A 26380-nucleotide genomic window follows, 5' to 3' on the forward strand; every position below is an offset into this window, starting at 1 on the left:
CTCTTTATTTGTAGTAGTAGATAAGGAATTAAGAAAGCAAAAATAGGTGCTTTGACTAGGTCTTTTGCCTTTGAAAGTAGCATTAGTAAAATCCCCTCTTCTTTTTTCTTGTAAACTTTACCCAATTCACTCTGCCCCCAGCCCATCTGTGTTCACTTGCTGTTCTTGCTGCTCTCAGTTTTTAAAAGCTTATTCTAAAATTACATGAAAGCAACGCCATTTTGACAAAATTAGAATTCTGGTAGGAATGGCTTACCATGAGGCCCTTGAGAGAGGCCCAGCAAGACTTTTGTACTTTTTATTTCAACCTCTCTTGGTTAAACCTACAATTTGGTAGATGATATAATTACCTCCCTTGGGCAGGTCAGTATCTCTGCCTTGGAGAAATAACAAAGTCCAAAGTAGTCTCTTCGTTCAAAGATGTTGGAAATGAAGGCTTTTTGATCTTTATGTATTAACATTTGGGTTTTAATCTTTCTGGGCCTCCTGACAGAAAATTCCTTTAAATTTATTATATAATTCTAAAATATTGGACATATTTGTTTCAAGTATCTGTCAATATCCTTACTCTTTTCATTCCACTCCCCATTGCCCTCATTAGTCATCAGGTCCTACTGATTTTTAACTCCTAAGTATTTCTCAAATCTGTCTCCTCAGCATGTACTGTTGGTTATATAACTCCCACTCCATTGTCACTGTGCTGCTTTAGACTATTTTTTCTTCTCTAGATCAGTGCCTGGCTTATATTATGAGCTTCATAAAGTTGGATCAATGAATGAATGAATGATTCATAATCTGGACAACTGCACTCTAACACTTAACTGAAAAAAAGTCTAAAGATCTGTATTCCATGTAAAAGCATCTATCTGAAATGCAAATCTTACTTTGATAATTTCCAGATTACTAAACCTCTTAGATGGCTCCCAGGCATCCCCAAAACCATCTCTCATTTCACTGATCAAAAAAGTAAAATTTAAAAATTTTAAAACTAAAAAAAAATTGAGCATTTCTTTGGTCAAAAAACAAAAACAAAAATGATCTCTGAGCATGCCTCACTGACACCCCGCTCTGCTGTGCACCCCTCTCCCACCCCCAGCCTACAGGGAACACCCAATAACCTCTTCTTTGCTGCATAACCCTTACCTTCCTTTTTCAAGACTCATACTTTCTCCTTAGAAACTTTTCGCCCCACTTCCTGGAAACAGTAGATTCTTTCTTGCTTATGGTTTTTGTAATGACATCAGCCATTTAGAACTCATGATGTGCCCAAGCCCCACTATCTGCCTCTCCACAGATCTCACTCAGACAATCCATCAGGAGTTAGTCACAGATCTAAAGTAAGGAGCTAGAAGAGAGCTTCAGGCTTGGTCTCTTTGGGTTGAAGCTAGAAAACCAATCTATGCTGAACACAAAAAAGAAGCTGAGTAATAGCCAACCTATACATCCTAGGAATAACTATTGCTTTTTTTGCCCTCAGCCAGTCTCTCTGTTGGGAGCAAGCCCCCCAAAATCTGGCCATAAACTGGCCCCAAAACTGGCCATAAAATCTCTGCAGCACTGTGACATGTTCATAATGGTCCTAACGCCCAAGCTGGAGGGTTGTGGGTTCACAGGAATGAGGGCAAAGAACACCTGGCCTGCCCAGGGTGGAAAACCACTTGAAGGCATTCTTAAGCCACAAACAATAGCATGAGCGATTTATGCCTTAAGGGCATGTTCCTGCTTCAGTTAACTAGCCCAACATATTTCTTTAATTTGGCCCATCCCTTCGTTTCCCATAAGGGATACTTTTAGTTAATTTAATATCTATAGGAACAGTGCTAATGACTGGTTTGCTGTTAATTAATATGTGGGTAAATCTCTGTTCAGGGATCTCAGCTCTGAAGGCTGTGAGACCCCTGATTTCCCACTTCAGACCTCTATATTTCTGTGTGTGTTTCTTTAATTCCTCTAGCGCCGCTGGGTTAGGGTCTCCCTGACTGAGCTGGTCTCGGCATCTCTCCACAGTTCCTCTCTCCTTCTTTACATTTCTTTTAAACACAGTATATTAACACAACACTGTGTGAGAACTGGGATTCAGAAAACCAAGATATAGGTCTCCAAGAGCTATGCTATGAGTCAGCCATGAAAACTGTCTGGGCCTCATTGACTGAGTCTGTAAAATCTGACTTGATGAGGATTATATTCATTGAACTCTGAGGTCCTGTCCATTTCTTACACCCTGATTCAAGGACCACACAGAACCTCTAACCCAGATGTTCTTAAATAGCCTTCTTGTATGTCTGGGAAGATGATGAAAGAACTTCAAGGGGATCATGAGCTCTTTAAATTCTATGTAAAATCCAAGGCCGGGCGCGGTGTCTCACGCCTGTAATGCTAGCACTTTGGGAGGCCAAGACAGGCAGATTGCCTGAGCTCAGGAGTTCGAGACCAGCCTGGGCAACATGGTAAAACCCCATCTCTATTAAAATACAAAATAATCAGCCTGGTGTGGTGGTGCGTGCCTGTAGTCCCAGCTACTCAGGAGGTTGAGACACAAGAATTGCTTGAACCCTGCAGGAAGAGGTTGCAGTGAGCTGAAATCATGCCACTGCACTCCAGCCTGGGAGACAAAGAGAAACTCTGTCCCAAAAAATAAATAAATAAATAAATAAATAAATAAATAAATAAATAAATAAATAAATAAAATTCTATGTAAAATCCTGTGTCAGCTGGCTGCATCACCTTGGCCCACATAGGGGGTTTTCTTATCTTTTTTCTCTTTCAAGGTAATGGCAGTCTATCGTTGCCCTACTATGTACTCTCTTTTTATTATTTTATTTATTGATTTTTTTAGAGACATGGTCTCACTCCTCAGGTCATCCCACCTCAGCCTCCTGAGTAGCTAGGATCACAGGCATGCCCCAGCATGCCTAAAAAAAATTTTGATGCTGGGCACAGTGGTTCACGCCTTGAATCCCAGAGCTTTGAGAGGCTAAGGCAGGAGGATTGATTAAGTCCAGGAGTTCAAGAACCTGAGAAATGTAGAGAGACCCCATTTCTATTACAAAAAAATAAAAAATAAAAACATTAGTTGGGCCCAGTGGCATTCACCTATAGTGCCAGCCACTTATGAGGCTGAGGCAGAGGATTGCTTGAACCCAGTTCAAGGCTGTATTGAGCTATGATTGTGCCTCTGCACTCAGCCTGGGTGACACAGCAAGACCCTATCAAAAAAAAAAAAAAAGTAAGGCTACAGGGAAGAAAGTATTTGGATAACAGTAAAAAAGTTAAACTCATGACGTTGGACTTTATGAAATGTGTTTACCCCAGAGCTGTTTACTGTATGATAAGTCCCTCCTAGATAGTATTCAAGGTTTAATGCAAAATCTCCAAGGACTTCTCTTGGTAGCAATGGTATTCTTTAGGAGGGCACGTTACTGAATCCTTCCTATAAAATGGCTCAAGATCCACTTCATGAGCTTCCAGAATAACTCCTGAAGCTACTCATGTTCCCCACTGGAAAACACATTACCACTACAAGACTGGCAAACATGAACCAGCATGGTAGAAACTTGGCAGGAAGAAAGCTCAAAATTTAGCACTTGGCCAGGCAATGTGTAATTTCTGTGAAAATTGCAGGCTAACAGTCAGTGAATTTGTCAGAAGGGGAGTTATTTGCTAGAGTTCTAGCCACCATTCTTGGAGAGCTGATGGTTCAATCTACCCTTCCTCCAGCCTGGGTCTGGACAGGGGTTGGCTCTTGTTCATTCCTGATGCATAGCCATCCTTAGTGGTCACTGCATTCTGAAGGGGTTTAGTGGGAATGTGGGCCTTGGGCAATGAACCCGAAGTTAACTCATGTGAGTTCCCAGAGCAGATTTGTGTTCAGTTCAGCTAACATTTATAGAGCACCTAATGACTGCTACATGCTGCCTGAGAGAGAGAGAGGATGGAACAGTGTCTGCCCTTGAGAAGTTCAGAGGGATGGGGAGAACCTAATGTGGTCAGAGCAGTTGTAGAGATAATGCCCATGGGACTGAAGGAGCATAGAGGCCAGGGTAGAACGAGGCTTCCAAAGAGAGTCCTGAGCTGTGAGAAGCTTCTCAGTGTCTGTGAGGAACTAGCCACAAGGAGAGTGAGAGTACCAAAGCACAGAATGCAGGAGTTGGGATGACTGTTAAGCCAAGAAGCAGATGGGCAGGGTGAGGACTAGGGTGCAAAATTTAAGGCAACACTCAGTCTCAGGGTCGTGCACATGCAGGGTCAGCAACTGAGAGTGTGTGTCTCCTTAATTTTGCATCCTAGGCACCTCATCTGCCCAGCCCTGCAGTTGGGTACAGTCGTGATTGGCTTTCTGGGCCATGATGAAGAGCTGGGATTTTTTTATTTTTTATTTTTGATGAAGTCTCGCTCTGTTGCCCAAGCTGGAGTACAGTGGGGCGATCTCGTGATCTCGGCTCACTGCAACCTCCCTCTCCCGGGTTCAAACTATTCTCCTGCCTCAGCCTCCTGAGTAGCTGGAATTACAGGCACATGCCACCATGCCTGGCTAATTTTTGTATTTTTAGTAGATTCAGGGTTTCACTATGTTGGCCAGGCTGGTCTTGAACTCCTGACCTCAGATGATCCACCCGCCTCGGCCTCCCAAAGTGCTTGGATTACAGATGTGAGCCACCGTCTCTGGCTGGAATTTTAACTTTAGATCATGGAGGGCCTTCAAGCATTTGAAGCTGGGGACTGACGTGGCAAGATTGGCATTTTAGAAATATTGCCCCAGATTGGGCGTGGTGGCTCACACCTGTAATCCCAGAACTTTGGGAGGTCGAGGCAGGCAGACTGCTTGAGCCCAGGAGTTCAAGGCCAGCCTGGGCAACATACCAAGACCTCATCTCTACAAAAAAAAAAAAAAAAAATTACCCAGGTGTGGTGGCCTGCACCTGTAGTCTCAGCTACTCTGGAGGAGTCTGAGGTGGGAGGATCCCTTGACCAGGGAGGTGGAGTTTATAGTGAACTTTGATCCAGCCTGGGTGACAGAGGGAGATCGTGTTTCAAAAACAAATATCACCCAAACAATTGTTGTGGTGAGACTTGAATGGAGACAGAGACCATTTTGGAAGCTGTTGTTGGAGCCAGGCACAATGGTGTGTACCTGTAGCCCAGCTACTCGGGAGACAGAGGCGGGAGGATCACTTTAATCTAGGAATTCAAGTCCAGTCTGGGCAACATAGTGAGACTCCATCTCTTTAAAAAAAAAAAGTAGGGGGGGTGGGGGGTTGCTATTTTAATAGTCCAAGCAAGAGATGAGACCCAAACTAAGGGTCAGGTGGAAGAAGGCAGTTTAATCATATTTAGGAGGTAAAAAACAGGGGGCCTGAACTGAATGCATTGATGAAGAAGCAGAAGGCTGTGCGATGACCCCGGGACTCTAGGGCAGCTGCTGGGCAGTAGAGATGGGGATGTTCAGCGAGTCGTGAGTAGGGGAGGAGGGGGAGTTGGCATGGGGCTGGGGGCTGGGAGAACTGTGGATTTGATCTTGAAATATTTGAGGTTAGGGTGCCTGTGGGGTGAACAGAGGAGATGTATACCCCACAGGCACCTTACATCTCCAGCAGTTGGACCCATGAATGTGACGTTAGAGAAATGAGAGCTGGGAGACATACTTCAGCGTGTACTTTGTAGATTAAGCCACATGGATTTTCCAGGGAGGAATTGTAGTTTCAGGAGAAAAGTGGTCTGAGGATTCAACCCTGGGAAACTGTAGTAACCAATTACCAACATTTAAGGTCCAAGAAGGGTCTACCTTAACGTGCCAAGGGAGATGGCCAGGGGTAGAAGGCAAAGAAAGAGAAGAGGTGTCTGGAAGTCTTGGAGTGACCAACAGTGTCAATACTCCAGGGAGGTCAAGTGGCAGGAGACCTGGGAACCTGCATGGGTGTGGTGGTTGTTGTCCTGAACCTGATGAAGTATTTAACAGAGTGGTCAAGGCAGAAGCCAGACTGTAACCGTTTGAGAAGACAAAAAGCGAGGAAAAACTCAGGGATATAGACCAATAACTGGTTCCTAACTATGCAGCTTTTTTGAATATGAAACCCTGCCAGGCACAGTGCCTTGCGCCTAGAATCCCAGTCCTTTGGGAATCTGAGTCAGAAGGATCTCTTGAGGCCGGGAGTTCAGGACACAGCAAGACCCCATGTCTACAAAAAATATATAAAATAAAAAATTAGCGGCCGGGTGCAGTGGCTCATGCCTATAATCCCAGCAATTTGGGAGGCCAAGGTGGGTGGATCACTTGAAGTCAGGAGTTCGAGACCAGCCTGGCCAAAACGGTGAAACCCTGTTTCTACTAAAAATAAAAAAAATAGCCGGCTGTAGTAGCACACGCCTCCCAGCTGCTCAGTAGGCTAAGGCAGGGTAATCCCTTGAACCTGGGAGGTGGAGGTTGCAGTGAGCCGAGATCGTATCACTGCACTCCAGCATAGGCAACAGAGCAAGACTCTGTATCAAAAATAAAATAAAATAAAATAAAATAGCCCGGCATGGTGGCTTGCACCTGTAGTGCCAGCTGCTCAGGAGGCTGAGGCAGCAGGATCTCTTGAGCCCAGAGAGTGAGGGGCTACAGTGAGCTATGATCATGCCACTGAACTCCAGCCTGGGTGATAGAGCAAGACCCTGTCTCTAAAAAAAATAATAAAAGTAAATAAAAAAGAACGCTGGGCTCCACCTGACAGATTCAAATTCATTTGCTTTAGCACAGGGCCATGGAATCTGTTCTAGCATCCTAAAAGCTGCCTCAGTGAGTTAACAAAACGGACTGGTATTGAAAGAGCTGTCAACAAGTTGTGGCAAAGAGAAGGCTCCTCTGTGAGGCAGGGAAGTAGGGTCAAATAAAAGGTGTTTTTTTGTTTTTTTTTTTTTGAGGAGAGGTGCTGATTTAGGATAAGTAAAATTGTTGTCAGACAGCACAAGAATCTAGGAAAGGCTTGAGACCTTGAAACTGTGGTGGCCTCAGCAGGTGCTTCTGTGAACTTTCTCCTCTCTCAGCAGGGTGGAGTCAGGAGCAGAGAAGGCAGATGGTGGGATGACCCCAAGTTAGGGTTTTATCAGAGAGGAAGAGCAGGAGGACAGGGTGTAAGGTAGATCAAGGAGTGTTACTAAGGGGCTCAGGTCCTAGACAGTGGGTCTTGCAGGTAGGCAATGAGGATTGTGAGGGACAGGAAAGATGCATGGCAAGGGGCCCTGAAAACCAGGGGAATATGGCAACACCAGTCCCAGGAGGGGAGCAGGTCTAACAGGAATGCCCTTGCGCATGTGCAGGAGAGCAGCAAGGCTAGGAGGCTGCAGACAGGCAGTGGGTAACTGAAAGGTGAACTTTCTACTAGACAGCAAATCCCCGGATGCCATCCCGATGGAGATCTAAGATGAAAAATACCGCGCCATAAAAATGCCTTACATGGTTCTAACCATGAAGCATAAAATTGCCTTTTCAACTGAAAACGATCTTCAGCTTCGTTTACCATTTTATGCTTTGGATGTCATGTAACATCCAGAAGCAATACCCTCCCCTGTTGAAAGTCAAAGTAAAATCAGAAAATGCTTAGTGCAAAGGAAAAAAAACAAACAACAACAACAACAACAACAACAAAAAAACAGAAGACAAAAAACCAGCAATAGAATAAAGCTGCAAACCCAAATCACCAGCACAGGAAAGAGAAAACAACCTGCAGCATAGACAAGTTTGATGTTGTGTTATCTGTGAAAATGTATGGAAACATTAATTTACCCAAAAATTCCCAAGGTGCTTTACTTGCCAACCACTGGAAGGAAGTAGAAATTCCCACTCAGGGTACTTTTAATTATCATCCTCTTTATGTTGTTTCCTAAAATAACAACAGGCATTCTAGAGATGATTTACCAAGATGGCCTAATGAGGTGTCAGATGAATACCTGTGCCCATGAGCCCCTTTACCTCAGGCCTCCTTATGCAAATTTGAATGACTCTTCTGAACCTGACTAGATAAAAAAACAGACATAATTCGAGCAGCTGGGCTGGAAGCACAGCTGGGCCATCCCCATAGAGACCAGACTCTAGCACCACCTGCTCTTCCTTGCCCCAGCGTTTCTCCCCACTCTTGCTTTTCAGAGCAGCAGCCCACCTGAACCTGGGTCTTCCTCAGATGATCTCCACATCAGTGCTTGTCAGCATTCATGTACACACAGATCAGCTGGGCAACTTGTGAAAATGCAGATTCAGACTCAGTTGTTGGGGTGGAGTCTCTGGATGTATGTATCTAACAAGCCCCCAGGTGATGCATGTGGTCATCAGATGGTCCTAGTTCCACACTTGGAAGAGCTATTTAGAGCCTCTAAAATAGCTACTCCCCTATGCAGTGTTTGAGTCCCAGACTTCTCGATTCTGCCAGCACCCGGATGCTTCTGGGACAGGATGCTTCCTGTTCATCTTGGATCAACACATCACAAAGGCCTTCCTGTATTGAGCTGAGATCTGTCTACCTAGGGCCTACCTTCACCTGATCTACTTCTGGGCCTTGGATCCTATGAAGCAGGTTTAAGGCCTTAGAAAGTGGCTGGCATGTCCCCCAAGTATTTTCTTCAGGCAAAACATGCCAGGTCCTCTGGCTATTATTTTTTAAGTTTTTTTAGACACAGGGTCTCACCATGTTGCCAGGCTGGTCTCAAACTCCTGGGCTTAAGTGAACCTCCTGCCTCAGGCTCCCAACATGCTGAGATTACAGGCGTAAGCCACAATATCTGGTCTTGGCTATTCTTCTTATGCTATGGTTTGGTCATTCTGGTCATTTCCTTCTTTTTTATTTTTATTTTTATTTTTTTTTTGAGACGGAGTTTCACTCTTGTCACTCAGGCTGGAGTGCAATGGTGTGATCTCGGCTTACTGCAACCTCCGCCTCCCAGGTTCAAGTAACTCCCCTGCCTCAGCCTCCCAAGTAGCTGGGATTACAGGTGCACACCACCACACCCAGATAATTTTTGTATTTTTGGTAGAGATGGGGATTCACCATGTTCATCAGGCTGGGCTCGAACTTTTGACTTCAGATGATCCACCTGCCTCAGCCTCCCAAAGTGCTGGGATTACAAGCATGAGCCACTGCACCCAGCCGTAGTCATTTCCTTCTGATCCTGCTCTGTGTGTCTTTAGGCCTCTCCTTTTGTGATACCCATGCTGCAAAAAGTAGCTTGGGACTGTCACCACCTCATTACAGAGAGCCTTTATGTGACTCGTGTTGAACTTGCTGTCAGCCATCATCCTTAAAGTCATTTTTACACATGCTGTGGATCAGCTACATTTCTTCCTAGTCAGTAATGATTATAATAATTATACTTAACAATTATGAGAATTAGTATAGCAAGATGGCTAAGAACATAGGCTCTGGAATGAGACTGCCTAGTGGGAAGCACTATGATTGGCACCATGTGTTATCTATCACCATCATCACCACCATCACCATCACCATCATCGCCATCGCTATCATCAACATCATCATCACCATCACTATCACCGCCATCATCACCATCGCTATCACCATCATCATCACTATCACCATCATCACTACAACCATTATTACCATCACCATCACTACCATCACTATCAACATCATACCACCATCACCATCATCACCATCACTATCACCACCATCATCACCATCACCAGTCATCACCATCACTATCACCACCATCATCACCATCACCATCACCACCATCATCATCACTATCATCATCACCATCATTACCATCACTGTCACCACATCATCATACCAACACCATCATCAACATAACCACCATCATCACCATCACCGTAATCATCAGCACCATCACCATCATCCATCACCATCACCACCATCACTATCACCACCACCACCATCATCACCATCACCATCATCATCATCATCACCATGTTAAGTAAGTACTTTGCCTACATTAACTGATTTATTTCTCACAACAACTTTATAATGTAGGGGCTATTATTATCCTAGTTTTACAAGTGAGGAAGTGGGACCTCACAAGATTATGTTTTGTGCTGAGGGTAACAGTGACAAGAGTCTAAACCTGTGGAGGGTCCTTTGGTTGGTTTTATTTGTTATGTTATTGACCAAAGTGCAAGACCATATCTGTTCCTGCTATTCATAAATTTCATCTTTTAGTCAGCACTTTACCCTTATTTTACACTATCTTTTGGATTCCTGATTCTGTCATCCCAAGTGTATCTGCCTCCTAGCTTCATGCCATCTGTCATATTGTGAGAAAAATATGTATCTTCACCTAGATCATATGCAAGGTCAGAGGCCATGTGGCAATTCCCTACAGATTCTGTTCACTGAAGCCTGATGGTGCATATCTCCTGAAGCTCCCCGAGCCTATAGTCTTGTAACCCACTCAGAGGAGCCTAGGGAGTGGTCAGACATGATTTGTATTTGAACATATTTGTATTTGGTTCCTGGGAAACGTGTTTCCTCCTTGCTTTCAGGTCTCCATTCCAGAATCTTTTCCAAGACTGACAGCTCCCTCCAAATTTATAGTTGCTGAAATCAATCCTCTGGGCAGGGCCAAATAGAAAGCAGGGTCTGCAGAACACACATCCCAGAGGTGATAATGACAGTTAATCCCTGCAGATAGTTAGATCTAGGAGACTGTCCCTGGGCTTCAGGGCTCCCTGCCTCTGAATCAGTGCATTTGCAGTGCAAATGCAAGCCTCTATGTTCCCCCTAAACTATAGGTGGCTGAGCAGCCATGGTGTTGCCAGCATTTCTATAAAGGAGGAGCTCAAGGCAGCAATCTCATCAGATGTGAGGCTGGGGCTGGCCTTGAATTTAGATTGTTTATTTGGGGCAGTTTGCAAGGAGGGGGTGCCATGATGAGATTATGTGAGCTAAATCCCCCACATAAAACCATTTTGTGCCACTGCTCCTGTGCCAACTGACCAGAAAGACTAGAGTGATTTCTTCCCTCTCTCCTTTCCTGGTTCTGTTCTCTGACCCTGGGTGATTAATGTAACCTAGCTATGTTCAATTACCCATCCTTTTCACGATGTTGGCATGTCTGCCACCTGTCCCTGGTGCTCTTCTTGGTTTCCTGTGAGCCGTGACAATGGGAGCCTTGCGACTTTTGGAGGAGAGCAGGAGGCCCTGGGTCTTCCATTAGTCTGGGCTCCCTAATCACACCATTGTCACTGGAGCCTGCACGAGCTGGGAAGTTGCAAAACAAGCCTGCAAAGAACATTCTTCCACTCCAATAAGTTCCCCTCATGAAATCAAGCAAACCCTGAATGTTTTCTCTTGGTGTGGTCAGGCAGAAGGGCTGTCTCTCTCATATTAGAGCAGTCAGTGATCATTGGCTAACTGAGACTAACGGCACATCTAGAAGAATTTGGAGAAGGCTGTCTTGGTTCTCTTAGAACAGCATGTGGCCCTAGCAGTGCACCTGTTTTTGGATAGCGGTGCCTCCGCAAGCCATGAAAGCTGATGGGGCAGGGAGGGGAGCTCCAGCCAGAAATGGGAAGTCTCTCAAACCTTAGTGAAGTGATCTTGAATCTCTGATTTACAGTGCTGATTTTGACACATTATTCTCAGCAAAACAGTGGTTTAGGGCACGGTCTCAAGCTCTATCTAGGTTGAAATTTTGTCAGGCATGTTGGCTCACATTTGTAATCCCAGCACTTTAGGAGGCCAAGGTGGGAGGATCACTCGAGCTCAGAAGTTTGAGACCAGTCTGAGCAACATAGCAAGACACAATCTCACAAAAAAAAAATCTAAAAATTAGCTGGGCATGGTGGCACACACCTGTAGTACCAGCTACTGAGGAGGCTGAGGCAGAAGGATCACTTGATCCCAGGAGGTTGAGGTTGTGATGAGCTGTGATCATGCCACTGCACTCCAGCCTGGGCAACAGAGCAAGACCCTACCAAAAAAAATCTTTACCAGCTCTGTGATCTGGGACAATTTATTTGAGTTTTGCAGGCCTCATCCAAAGATTATAATTGGACTTACCGTATTGGTTATGACAACTAAATAAAAAAAATACATGTAAAGTGCTTAGAACAGTTCCTGACATTTAGTAAGAACTTTGTAAGTATTAACTATTATTAGCATCATCATCTTCTTTATTGTCACTATTTTCTGAGTGTTTAATATGTACCAGGCATGTCTAAGCACATATATTACATGCATTATTAGCTCATTGAACTTCACTTTGGTTATTGGGGAAGTGTTTTTAGAGATGGAGTCTCACTGTGTCACCTGGACGGGAGTGCAGCAGTGCTGTCTTAGCTCACTGCAACCTCTGCCTCCCAGGTTCAAGCAATTCTCCTGCTTCAGCCTCCCAAGTAGCTGGGACTACAGGCATGCACCACCACACCCGGCTAATTTTTGTAATTTTAGTAGAGACAGGGTTTCACCATGTTGGCCAGGCTGGTCTTGAACTCCTGACCTCAAGTGATCCACCCACCTTGGCCTCCAAAAGCGCTGGGATTACGGGAAGGAGCCACTGCGCCTGGCTGAACTACACTTTGAAGTAAGGATTAACCCTGTGCTTCAGTTGAGGAAACTAAAAATGGGAGAGTTCAGTAACCTGCACAAAGTTAAACCGGCAAGTAATTGGTGAAGTCAAAATCTAGAATCAAGGGTTTTTTGTTGTTTATTTTTTGTTTTGGGGACAGGGCCTTGCCACATCGCCCAGGCTGGAGCGCAATGGTGCAATCACAGCTCACTTTAGCTTCAACCTCTTCGGCTCAAGCGATCCTCCCACCTCAGCCTCCTGAGTAGCTGGAACCACAGGCCTGCACCACCACACCTGGCTAATTTTTGTATTTTTTGTAGACACAGGGTTTCACTATGTTGTCCTAGCTGGTCTTGAACTCCTGGGTTCAAGTGATCCGCCTGCCTTGGCCTCCCAAAGTGCTGGGATTACAGGCGTGAGTCACCACGTCTGACCTGGAATCGAGTTTTCCTAACTCCGGAGTTATGCTGTTATTGCCCTCTGCTACTGTCAATAGTAACAGCCATATTACTGAGTACTTCCCCCTTGCTGAGTAGGGTGCTGAGCACTTTACATGCCCTATTTCATTTAATGTTCACAATAATCCTATGAGGTAGATTCTCTTGTTATTCCCATTTTACAGATGAGGTAACCAAGGTTCAGAGAAGCTAAGCAGCCTCAGCAAATTTATACAGCAAAGAAAGCCAGCACTTAAATCCAGGCCTGCCTCACTCTAAAGTCTGTTCTATTGAGTTTGACTGCCAAACAGGTGAGCAGGATGCTCCTAGGAGGTTGGTAACAGTGATTGGTGATCCATGACAACTGGGATCCACTGAAACTCAGGGATACACAGTTTGCCTAATCAGCCCTATTTTTTGAGCTATCATTAGGGACAATTTTTCACTTTCTCTGATGCTTCATTTCTCTGCAGCTTCTGAAAGCTGTTGATTTGCTCAGATTAAGACCAGCTTCTGTGCCTTTAGCTTCTCAGATTGTTGTGTACGTGCTCAAGAGTATGGAGAAATCATAAACAGTCCAGAAGGAAGCCCTGGCATACTATCCAAAGTTTTTGCCACATTGCTGTGGGAGGAGTCTGTGTTTCTTGACCAAACCCTTGAGGTTATGTGACTGCAAGATTTCAAATGTGCATTTCAACATCAGGTCATGATGGGGCAACTTGTTTTGTGATGAATAGCACTATAAGAAGAACATATTCTATAGACCAGGGATTCTCAGCCAGGGATGCATGGTGGGGCTTCAGAGGCTCTGGGAACATTCTGTATGTGTGTGTGCATTTTACTCAAGAGAGAGCTCCTAACTTCTATAATATTCTCAGGGAGTTCATGACTCAAAAAAATCATTTAAAAATCATTGTTCTCTGGCCAGGCGCGGTGGCTCATGCCTGTAATCCCAGCACTTTGGGAGGCCGAGATGGGTGGATCACCTGAAACCAGCCTGGCCAAAATGGTGAAACCCTGTCTCTACTAAAAATACAACAATTGGCTGAGTGTCATGGCACATTCCTGTAATCCCAGATACTCGGTGGACTGAGGCAGGAGAATAGCTGGAACCTGGGAGGAGGAGGCTGCAGTGAGCAGAGATCATGCCATTGCACTCCAGCCTGGGTGACCGAGCAAGACCCCATCTCAAAAAAAGAAAGAAAGAAAAAGAAAAAGAAAAAAATAACTATCTTCAGGGCTTCCACCTGCTTTTGCAGAATCAGAGAATGTGATCCATGTAAGGGTTGAGTGGAGGCACAGGGGACAGAAGTGGGAGGGCCAAAGTCTGGAGGGACAATAGCTCACTCTGGAATGTTTTCAAGTTTAGTGGGGACGATTCAGGAAACAAGCTGACTCTGGAAATGACACAGAATTCACAGTGTTATTGTTTCTTTGAAAGGTGGGCGGTTAGTGGTTTTTCCTTAACATTCATTCATATACTTCTAGTAAGTACCATTAAGTTTCATACAGTTTACATATACCTGGTTTCACTGCATCTGGAGAGATTCCGGATAGTTCTTGTTAATGAGAAGTCCTGGGGTGGAGCTACAATGCACCATCCATTGTGAACCCTGATAACTTGGGACAGGTCTCAGTGAATTTAGAAAATTTATTTGGCCAAGGTTGAGGACACACACCCATGACACAGCCTCAGGAGGTTCTGAGGACGTGTGCCTAAGGTCATCAGAGCACAGTTTGGTTTCATACATTCTAGGAACACCGGAGACATCAATCAATGTGTGCAAGATGAACATTGGTTCAGTCTGCAAAGGCGGGACAACTTGAAGCAAAGGCGGGAATTCTCAAAGCAAGGAGGGGACTTTCGGCTCATAGGTAGTTGAGAGACAAATGGGTGCATTCTTTTGAGTTTCTGATTAGCCTCTCCAAAGGAGAAAATTAAATATGCATTTATCTCGGTGAGCAGAGGAGTGACTTTGAATAGAATGGGAGGCAGAATGGCCCTAAGCAGTTCCCATCTTGAGTTTTCCCTTTAGCTTAGTGTTTTGGAAGCCCCAAAATTTATTTTTCTTTTACACAATTTTTAAAACCCAGGTAGAAGTGTCCATTCTTGTTAAAGAAACAAAGGAAGCAAGAAAAGCAAACAATAGGCTGGCTGCGGTGGCTCACGCCTGTAATCTCAGCACTTTGGGAGGCTGAGATGGGTGGATCACCAGAGGTCAGGAGTTTGAAAACAGCCTGGTCAACATGATGAAACCCCATCTCTATTACAAACACAAAATTAGGCAAGTGTGGTGGAGGGCGCCTGTAATCCCAGCTACTCTGGAGGATGAGGCAGGAGAATTACTGGAAGTCGTGAGGAGGAGGTTGCAGTGAGCTGAGATCGTGCCACTGAACTCCAGCCTGGGCAAAAAGAATGAAACTCTGTCTAAATAAATAAAGAGGTAAATAAATAAATACAACTATTTTAATCTGCTTGTTAAAGGTATCTGATAGAATTTTGAATTTCTTTTTGTTATTTTGAATTTCTTTGTTTCCCTAATACAGCTATTTAGAATTCTCTTTCAGAAAAATGACACGTTTCTGTTTCTCCAGGATTGGTCCCTGGTTCCTTTTTTGGTTCATTTGGTTAAGTATTTCTTTTAATGATTTGCTGATGCCAGTAGATCTTTGTGGGTGTCTCGCCATTGAAGATTTTGATATTTATTGTAGTCAACACTGCCTGGACTTGTTTGTAGCCATTGTTCCTGAGAAGGCTTTAGAGATATTTGAAAGGACTTGGGTGTTGTGATCTAAGCTCTTTCTACTTTAGGGGACATCTCAAGCCCAGTAACACTGTGGTTCTTGCAGGCTCACAGAGGTACTACCTTGATGGTCTTGGACAACATGGTCTTGGAGAATTTTCTGAATTATCTAGCAGAGACTCTTCTTTTCTTCTTTTACCTTCTCCCAAACAAATGGAGTCTGTGTGTGTGTGTGCATGTGTGTGTGTGTCCTGAGACACATGAAAATGAAGTGGAGTGACACAAACATCTCTGTGGCCATGACCACTATGACTGCACTGGGTCAGACCTGAATCCAACAGAGTGCTTGATCTCACCCAAGGCCTGACATCACAGCTTCCTGGTTATTGTCTATGTTCACTCAAGATGCTATGGATCTATAATCAGCAGGTGAAAAAGTCAGCCAGGCCTCAATTACTCATGTCAGTTTAGCAAGTTTCTTTAGGCCCTAGGTTGGTTCAGAGGTACTATTCAGGAGTCAGGGCTAAAATAAAAAACTTCACAAAGCTAAGGTTTTGGCAGTGAGAGTTTGGGTGAACAGTGTGGAACAGATCTTTAAAAAGGCAAAAGTTTCTAAATAAAGATTTAAACCTGATGGGAAAAACAATAGAGAAATATACAAAAAATAAATTATGTTTATGGTAATTTTACTTATTTATTTATTTATTTATTTTTTGATATAGGATCTTGCTCTATCACCCTGGCTGGAGCGCAGTGGCATGAGCTCAGCTCACTGCAAGCTCTGCCTCCCAGGTTCAAACGATTCTCCAACCACAGCCTCCCTAGTAGTTGGGACTACAGGTACGTGCCACTATGCCAGGCTAATTCTTTGTATTTTTAGTAGAGATGGGGTTTTGCCATGTTGGCCAGGCTGGTCTTGAACTCTTGACCTCAAGTGGTCCGCCCACCTCGGCCGGCCTCCCAAAGTGCTTGGATGACAGGCATGAGCCACCATGCCCGGACCAATCTTACTTGTTATTTAATTATACCAGCCCTCATTCTGAATAAAGACTAGATGCAGGGATTAATAACTAGTGCTTTGATTTTACCTGTAAAATGTATTTTATTTCTTTCTTGTGGACACCAGTAAATTAAACACTAATAAAAATAGAATACAAGCTGGGCGCGGTGGCTCACACTTTTAATCCCAGCACTTTGGGAGGCCAAGGCAGCTGGATCACAAGGTCATGTGTTTGAGACCAGCTTGGCCAACATACTGAAACTCCGTCTCCACTAAAAATACAAACAAAAATTAGCCAGACATGGTGGTGGGTGCTGGTAATCCCAGCTACTTGGGAGGCTGAGGCAGGAGAATCGCTTCAACCTGGGAGGCAGAGGTAGCAGTGAGCTGAGATCATGCCACTGCACTCCAGCCTGGGCCACAGTGCGAGACTCCTCTCGAAAAAAAAAAATTAATTTAAAAATATATATATACACATAAAATACATGTTGTCAGTCATGTAGTGTGTGTGTATTATCTTTATATATGCCATATATTATATGTATATTATTTATAATATATAGATAAAATATACATTGTATATAGAAACAGACAAAATATACATTACACACTCACACACACACTCACTCACACACGTGTTATGTGGTCTAAGGTGTATTCAACCAGTTCTTAGTGATCACTGAAGAGTAATGATTGAACTTATTTATAAATTTATTAAAATTGTATCAATTTATAAATAAATATAACATTTATTAAACACATAATTAGCAATTTCATTATTAGCTGAAACACCTAATTTGTGTAATAATTATATATTTGATAGACATAGAGTTACTAGGAGCTGAACACATGTTTCTTAAGGTAAATGTATATTCTATGTAAATCCCTCCCAAACGTTGATCCCCAAAGCATGTGCAACTTTTGTAAACACTTTTATGCGCTGCATTAAGTTAAAAATGGATGTCAAGTGTTGTGATAATCGAATACCTTTTTTCTGAATATCAACACCAGGTTTTTACCTGTTTTTCAAATGCACAATTGCCACCCTCTCTTTCCCTGGTATTTTTTAGACCACTGGCAAGGGGTTGCTCAGCTAGCCAAATTGATAGGATTAAATGACTGCTTTTGAGATTCCAGTTTACCACTTACCAGCCATGTGGCTTTGGTTATTTATTTATTCTTTCTAGGCAGCTGCTCACAATGAGACAACACTTTATCCTCCTGTGTAAAACTGGAATAATGAGTCCCTTGATCCTTGAGCTTTCCTAAAGATTAAGTCAACTCACACCTGTAAGCTTCTGCTTAGCACAGTGCTTGGCAGAGAATGTGCCCTTAAGTAGCTGCATGTATTTTCTTCTGTAGATAACAGATAGTAAAGTATTCCAAAGGCATAGCTCAGCTGGAACCTAATAACATTTATGGATACTTCAGACACAGCCTATAAGAAATCACAACTTGTTGAACTTTGTGGAGAGACAGAATAGTGCCAGTCACAGGAGAAATAGGTCAGTGAACTACAGTCCAATCTTTTTTCTCTGCTCCCCGCAGCCTGGTGACTCATACTGTCTGTCCCTTTTTATCATCAGATGAAGCTGAAGGAATTGACTTGCCTAATTCACAGAAGAAATCAGAGAATTTTTAAAAAGAGCCTTGGGGTTGTACTTAGTATCAATTACATATTTATTTCTGTAAATCTAAGAACATCTATTGCCACATAATGCTCATTAAATGTATATTTACAGAACTCTGCCAGGCGCGGTGGCTCACTCCTGTAATCCTAGAACTTTTGGAGGATGAGGAGGGAGATCATTTGTGCTCAGGAGTTCAAGACTAGCCAGGGCAGCATGGGGAAACCCCATCTCTACACAAAATAAAAAATTAGGCGAGTGTGGTGGTGCGCATCCGTAGTCACAGCTACTTCGGAAGATCACTTGATCCCAGGAGATGGAAGTTGCAATAAGCTAAGATGACACCACTGCCCTTCAACCTGGGTGTTAGTGAGATCCTATCTCAAAAATAAAATCAAATCTGTATTTACAGAACTCTTATTGTTATTATGTTCACCCTACAGTTTGTAATTTATGAGTCATGAAGCACATGTAGAATTTGCCCAAATTTTTTTCTCTACTCAGCTTCTTCTGTTTAAACACAGACCATTGTGTTAAGTATTTGTTTGAGGCAAGGGCTAAAGTAGGATGACACTATCCCCTAGGCAGGAGTATGAGGGCACGAGGGGCCAGAAGTGATTCACATGAAAAAGAGGATTTGAGTGGTTGGGAGAATTTTTCTCTCTTGGCTTGTTATACTAAGGTCTGTGATGCCTTACATTTCAAGAGTACCCAGGATTAAGAACTTTTTCCTTTCTACCACTTTGTAATCACTCTTAACCCTACATTTGTCAGCACTTCCAGCCACCCTTACACATGTATCTCCCCGTGCACCCTAGGAGACTACACTGAATAGTGAATTAGATACCTCTATCCAACAGAACTATAAAAGCTTGACTTCCCCCCTCCAAATCTCCAATCTTATGTAGTTTAATACTTAAAATTGCTGAAGTTGGCTATAGATGAAGGAAAAAATTTTGGAGTGCAGCGGGAGTGGGCACCTTCATGTGGGTAAAGAAGAGACTAACAAGACCCATTTAATGTAGCTTTCAGCAGCCTTTTGGCTACTCACAGTTCAACCACATGAACTTCTAGTGGTTTGGACTCACCCAAGCCTCAACATTAGCTTTAAGGACTCCTTGATCCTTTCAGCAGGAGAAAAATGAACATGTGAAGCACTCAGGCTCTTGGTTTTAATCCTCTCATGGATCAGCCTTGTTAGCAGACTGCAAGTGTAGAGCCCTTGTTTCACCACACTAACCACTTGGCTGAGAGAATTTGCTGTTGGTCCTAGGGGAAATTCACATATCCCTTGCAAGCTCTTCAAGTATTTGTATCTTTCCCCCTTTCAGAAAGTTGTGTTTATCGCAGCATCCCACTCTCATCACCAAAACTAAATCACTGTGAAGGATCTTAGATTTTATCCTATTTGTAAACTAACCTATTAATCTTCCAGTGTCATGGATGCTGGTAGAAGGCGTAAGACACCGAAGTATGACAAAAATACTTACGATTGACTGCAGAACTGGAGGCAAAAGCTTTATGTTTGTATTAGTTCTCCTTGTCCACACTACATTTTTTAGAGGGATTTCAAAAGGCTCAGATGGACATTGCACATGGGGAAGATCGGTGTCACAGCTGAGCAACTTCAAGATTAGGAAACCTCAGTCTTTTTAAAGTAGGCTACATGCAAACCTGTAGAGCATTTGCCTCACAGAGAAAAATTGTCTTTTTTATATTGGTTGAGTAATTTATCTGCCATTCATCTGAAGAGAAAAATTACTGCCCTTCCCCCAGGATATTTCTGTACAAAAATCTTTGAAAAATCCTTATGCAGAGTAGGGGGAGATGGAAGAACTAAGGGAGAGAAAATGGCAGCTTTGCCTCCTCCCTTGCCCAGTGCTAAGGTCCCCAGGGCAAGCAGCTTTTGCCTTCAACTTCAAGTTAACAGCATACAAAATATATTCATTTTTACTTCCCCCACTTTCTTATTAACGTTACAAATTATATCTCTCTATATTGTGTGTATTTTCACAGAGATTTAAGAATTTTATGCACCGTTATTATTACAATAGCAAATTTTATATCTGTGTATATATTTACATTTAACAGAGAGCTTTATATTTTCATACGGTTTTATGATGCTTTCCAGCATCATTTAATGTTTCAACATAGTTGACTCACTTTAGCATTTTTTTCTAATGTTATTCTAGTAGTAAACAACCTTAGATTTTTTATTTTAATCTTTGAAAGTCTTTATTTTTTCTAATTTTTGAAGTACGTTTTTTCCCAGATCAATTATTCTTGGTTGCTAGTATGTTTTGTTTCATCACTGAAGTGTGTAAAGTTCTCAGCATCCCCTCTTTTTCCCCCAAATAACATTTATGCCATTTTCTTCGTATATTCTTTTTATAAGACTCTTTCTCTGAATATATTGATCTACTTGATGGTGTCCAGTAAGTCTCATATTTTGCCCTTATTTTTCTCATTCTTTTCAAAAATTAGTTTCCAGGCCTAAATATTTGTGAATAATATATGCTTAATTTGCTGACTCTTTTTTTGCTCCATTGTTTGCTGTTGTGGCTCCATAGTGAATTTTTAAACCTCAATTATTGTATCCTTCAACTCCACAATTTCTGTTGGGTTTTTAGAAAAAGGTTTCATCTCTTTGTTGATATCACATTTTGGTCATTTATTATTTTAAATGTTATTCAATTGTCTATTTTTGTTTTATTTTTGTTCACTGAGAACGCTTAAGTTAATTATTTTGAATTCTTCATCAGATATGCAAAAATCTTCATTTCTTAAGATTCAACTTCTGGATATTTATTCTGTTTCTTCCAGTGAAGCATATTTTCCACCTTCTCCGTATGCCTTGTAATTTTTTTATAAGATCTGGAAATTTATACAACATCCATCAAATCTAGCATTTAAAGACTGGCACGGCTGGGCGCAGTAGCTCATGCCTGTAATTCCAGCATTTTGGGAGGCCAAGATGGGCAGATTACTGGAGGCCAGGTGTTTGAGACCAGCCTGGCTAACATGGCGAAACCCCGTCTCTACTGAAAATACAAAAAATTAGCCTGGCGTTGTGGTGCGCGCCTGTCGTCCCAGCCACTCAGGAGACTGAGGCGAGAGAATCGCTTGAACCCAGGAGATGGAGGTTGCAGTGAGCTGAGATTGTGCTACTGCACTCCAGCATGGGTGACAGAGCAAAACTCTGTCTCAAAACAAACAAACAAACAAACAAACAAACAAAAAAAAACAAAACCAAAAACTGGCTTAGTAAAGGGGGATACTGAAAGCAATCAGAAAGGCTATAGATTCTAGGTGCTTCACAGACCCATTCTCAGATATGTCTTCTCTGGATTTGTGTGTATTTCTAAGATAAAGAGATTTAGTTTCATTGTTTTTAGATTGATTACCTATTTTCTTCCTCAGTTGACTGTCTGTGGTGTTGCAGTTTCTCTAGTGCTGTAACTAGCATTCATCTTTTTTCTCATCAGACACAATTGTCATCCGTATGACCCCATCATGTCCTTCAGCACTCCATGTCAGGAGAGAGAGAATCTAGTCATAAGGCAATCTCTCAAAAAGACAAACATTCCAACACATACTCTACAGTTTTAATTCTTTCCTGAGGAAGATGCTGGGAGTTGGGCATTTTCTGGTGAGCCCAATTACTGTTGGGGGGAAGGAAAAAAAAACTGTGGTGGACAGTCTGTAGCAAAGACAAAATTCCTGGAGTGTGAAAAGAGGAGACAACTGCCATATACAAAGCAAAGTGAAAATAAATGAGCAGGTAACACATGGGAGAGGTCCAAAGTCACAGAGAAGGCCAGAGTTTAAATGTGGTTTGGTCATCTCTGCTCCAATGGAAATTGTTTTGGAAAAGACTAGTTTTATTTTTCTTGCTGTCACAGAGAAACATTTTCCTGTCCCATGCTTACTATGCTCTTCAATCTTCTACGGCTTCTTTTCTCCATCCCAGAATCTTCCAGTGCATTCACACTGAAAACCAAAGTCCTACCAGAATCTTTAAGAACGTACATGATCTGACTAGTTTTCATTACTTTTGGGAATATACTGAAATCTGTGCACATTTCTGGAGAACTCTGTGTTATGCCATTTCTATTTTTTTCTGTTTTTTTTTTTTTTTTTTTGAGATGGAGTCTCACACTGTCGCCCAGGCTGGAGTGCAGTGGCACGATGTCGGCTCACTGCAAGTTCTGCCTCCCGGGTTCACGCCATTCTCCTACCTCAGCCTCCCAAGTAGCTGGGACTACAGGCGCCCACCACCACCCCCGGCTAATTTCTTTTTTTGTATTTTTGGTAGAGACGGTGTTTCACTGAGTTAGCCAGGATGGTCTTGATCTCCTGACCTCGTGATCCACCCACCTCAGCCTCCCAAAGTGCTGGGATTACAGGGGTGAGCCACCGTGCCTGGCCTATTATGCCATTTTTAAAAATAAATCTACGGTGCTTCAAGTCAGAAGTGTGTGAGGGGAGTTGTGGAGGGATTGGGAGGCATTGGGATTTGGTTTAGAAATTCCAGGCAGAGTAGTGCAAAGGGCTTGTGAGCAAGGCACTCGGAGACGTCGCGGCAAGCCATCGTTGCTTCCGAACATCCTGCTCACCGGTACACCAGGGGTTGGAAAAACCACACTAGACAAAGAACCTGCATCAATATCAGGACTGGAATACATGAATGTGGGTGATTTATCTTGAGAAGAGAAATTGTATGATGGCTATGATGAAGAGTATGATTGCCCCATTTTAGAAGAAGACAGAGTAGTTGATGAGTTAGATAACAAACGGGAGAAGATGGAGTTATTGTTGATTACCACGGTTGTGATTTCTTCCCTAAATACTTTTTTCATATAGTTTTTATGCTGAGAACAGATACCACTGTATTGTACAAAAGACTTGAAACAAGGGGTTATAATTGGAAGACTCTAACAGACAATATTCAGCGTGAGATTTTTCAAGTTCTCTATGAAGAAGCCACAACATCCCACAAGGAAGAAATCGTGCATCAGCTGCCCAGCAATAAACCAGAAGAGCTAGAAAATAATGTAGATCAGACTGGCTGGGCGCGATGGCTCACGCCTGTAATCCCAGCACTTTGGGAGGCCGAGGCGGGTGGATCACCAGGTCAAGGGATCAAGACCATCCTGGCTAACACGGTGAAACCCCGTCTCTACTAAAAATACAAAAAACCAGGAGGCGGAGCTTGCAGTGAGCCGAGATCAAGCCACTGCACTCCAGCCTGGGCCACAGAGTGAGACTCCTTCTCAAAAAAAAAAAAAAAAAAAAAAAAAAAGAAAGAAAGAAAAGAATGTAGATCAGATCTTGAAATGGATTGAGCAGTGGATCAAAGATCATAACTCTTGACCTATAAGGCCAGCTACTTTATAATCACTCTTGTTGATATCACTCTGCCGACATCATAGAAATTGTTCAAGTATATCAGTAACACTTTATTAAAATCATGTTGCAGGACTAGCAGGTGGATAGTATATAGGTTTATGCCTGTGTTTCTTTTTCTCCATGAGAAACCTAAACATCTGAAATATAATGAATATAATATTATTAAGGATTGAGACAAAAACTGTAATTTTAATACTTAAATTGCTAAAGAATAAATAAATCTGACAAAATGGGTGGGTATCTTTTAAGTTTATTACAGAAAAAAATGCAGATGATCTCTTAAAATAAAACTAAAGACTAAAGAGAAAGCATCAGAGTATTCTTTTTTCTTTCTTTAAATTAGGAAATACGAGAAGTGTTGTACTCTATACAAAATTCAAAAGGTACAAAAGAGCATGTTGAAAAGTTAGATCTCCCTTCCATACCACCATATCCCCAGGCACTCCAGGATCCTTCACTTTAGGAAATAATGGAATTTGTTTCCCATATGTCTTTTCAGCGGTTTTATGCCTGGACAGTGTATATGTATGTGTGTACATTTTTTAAAGAATATAGTAGTATATTGCACACAATATTCTGTACCTTTCTTTTTTTACTTAATATATTTGGAGATTATATCATCTCAGTACAGACCTCCCTGTTCTTTTATTTTTTAGGTGAGATATACATACCACACAATAAAAGTTACAATTTTGAAGTGTATAGTCATCAGAACTGGGTATGGTGGCTTATGCCTGTAATCCCAGGAGCTGAGGAGACTGAGGTGGAGAATTGCTTGAGGCAGGAATTCAAGAACAGCCTGGGCAACATTGTGAGATCTTAGACTCTAAAAATAAACATAAATAAAATTTATAATCCATTGGTTTTTAGCTTATTAACAAGGTATGACTGTCACCACTGTGGGGGAAGCAGTGATGATAAAGGGAAATCCTATACCTTTTAGCAGTCACTCTTTATTCTTTCCTCCTCCTCCCTTTGCAGTCACTAGTCTACTTTCTGTCTCTATGGATTTGCATATTCTGGATATTTCATATAAATGGGATTATACAATAAAAAAGAAAAAAATTCCAGGAACACCAGAGACAGATGACACATGTTTTCTGCTTAATAATTTCACATCCTATGAAGGATAATTCTACAACATAATTCTACAAAAAAATTTGACTGAAAAACTTTATGCCTAATCTTAAACATTTAAACTCTATATGCCAACAGTCTCTACTGTAGGGTGATTTATTGTATGTACTCATTTTATGGATTCCTTAAAAAGCTTTTCCAATAAGGGAAATTAGAATATTGCTGAACATATATTGAATTCCCAATTATTAACTTATTTCTCAATTATTTTGTGATTCTGTCTTCTTTAACATGAAGATTACCATGACTGTGTTTTCATTTTCTGAATTGTCATATGTCTGTAATTTGTCTGTAATCTTAGTTTCAGAAGTTCTACAATAACATGCTCAAGGCCTGGCACGGTGGCTCACGCATGAAATCCCAGCACTTTGGGAGGCATAGGCGGGTGGACCACGAGGTCAGGAGTTTGAGACCAGCCTGGCCAACATAATGAAACCCCAACTCTACTAAAAGTAAAAAAAAAATTAGCCGGGCGTGGTGGCATGTGCCTGTAATCAGAGCTACTCGGGAGGCTGAGGAAAGAGAATTGCTTGAACCTGTGAGGCGGAGGTTGCAGTGAGCCAAGATCATGCCACTGCACACCAACCAGCCTGGGCAAAAGAGCAAGACTCCATCTCAAAATAAATAAATAAATAAATAAATAAATTAATTAATTAATTAAATAAAATAACATGCTCAAATGTATGTGTTATATATAAATTATATCATTTATTAAAATATTTGTTTTGTATGTTTCATCTACTTTAGGCACAATGTTATTATTAGCATTTCCTTCCAGTTTCCTCAACTTTTACCTGAATAATAGTACAACTTATAACCAATTTTATTTTATATATCAATGTTTTATACTGTATTTACAATATATATATAGTTATTGTATTTAGAAATGGAAGACTTTTCTTCTAAAGGCTAGATTACAGCCTTACCATTTTGTAAGAAAAGCAGCAATGGGCTGGGCATGAAGGCTCAAGCCTGTAATCCCAGCTCTTTGAGAGGCCGAGGTGGGCGCATCACCTGAGGTTGGAAGTCTGAGCCCAGCCTGACCAACATGAAGAAACCCTATCTCTACTAAAAATACAAAATTAGCTGGGCATGGTGGCTCATGCCTGTAATCCCAGCTACTCAGGAGGCTGAGACAGGAGAATAGCTTGAACCCAGGAGGCAGAAGTTGCGGTGAACCGAGATTGCACCATTGCACTCCAGCCTGGGCAACAAGAGTGAAACTCTGTCTGAAAAAAAAAATAGAAAAAAAAAAAAAGAAAGAAAAGAAAAAAAGAAAAGCAGAAATGTTTCAATGTATCAGTAGCATAATTTAAAAGTTTCTCTAGTATTACTGAAATGCTTTTTTTAAAAACTTTCTCATCAAAGCTGTTTATGAATAATTATAATGTGTTTTCTTTGAAATGTTGCCGTAATTGTATCCAAATGATTCAAAATTCATGCTTTTCGTGGATGCACAGTTACAGTTCAAAATTGTAGTTATCTAGAATTCTTTTCTATGTTTATTCAGGATTT

At 42.1% G+C, this 26380-nt stretch overlaps 1 pseudogene, besides 1 other annotated feature; it reads left to right on the plus strand.

The window, feature by feature from the left end:
* The first annotated feature begins 3805 nt into the window (after window positions 1–3805).
* Window positions 3806–23692, plus strand: AK6P1 (adenylate kinase 6 pseudogene 1; annotated as a pseudogene).
* Window positions 18147–18347: a silencer, noted in NCBI's record as "peak1675 fragment used in MPRA reporter construct". NCBI's record gives its function as "represses an SCP1 promoter by STARR-seq MPRAs in K562 erythroleukemia cells {active_cell/tissue: K562}" and the evidence as "EXISTENCE:reporter gene assay evidence [ECO:0000049][PMID:32103011]".
* Window positions 23693–26380: the final 2688 nt, after the last annotated feature.

The sequence above is a fragment of the Homo sapiens genome, chromosome 12, assembly GCF_000001405.40.
Source record: "Homo sapiens chromosome 12, GRCh38.p14 Primary Assembly".
Lineage (NCBI taxonomy): Eukaryota > Metazoa > Chordata > Mammalia > Primates > Hominidae > Homo > Homo sapiens.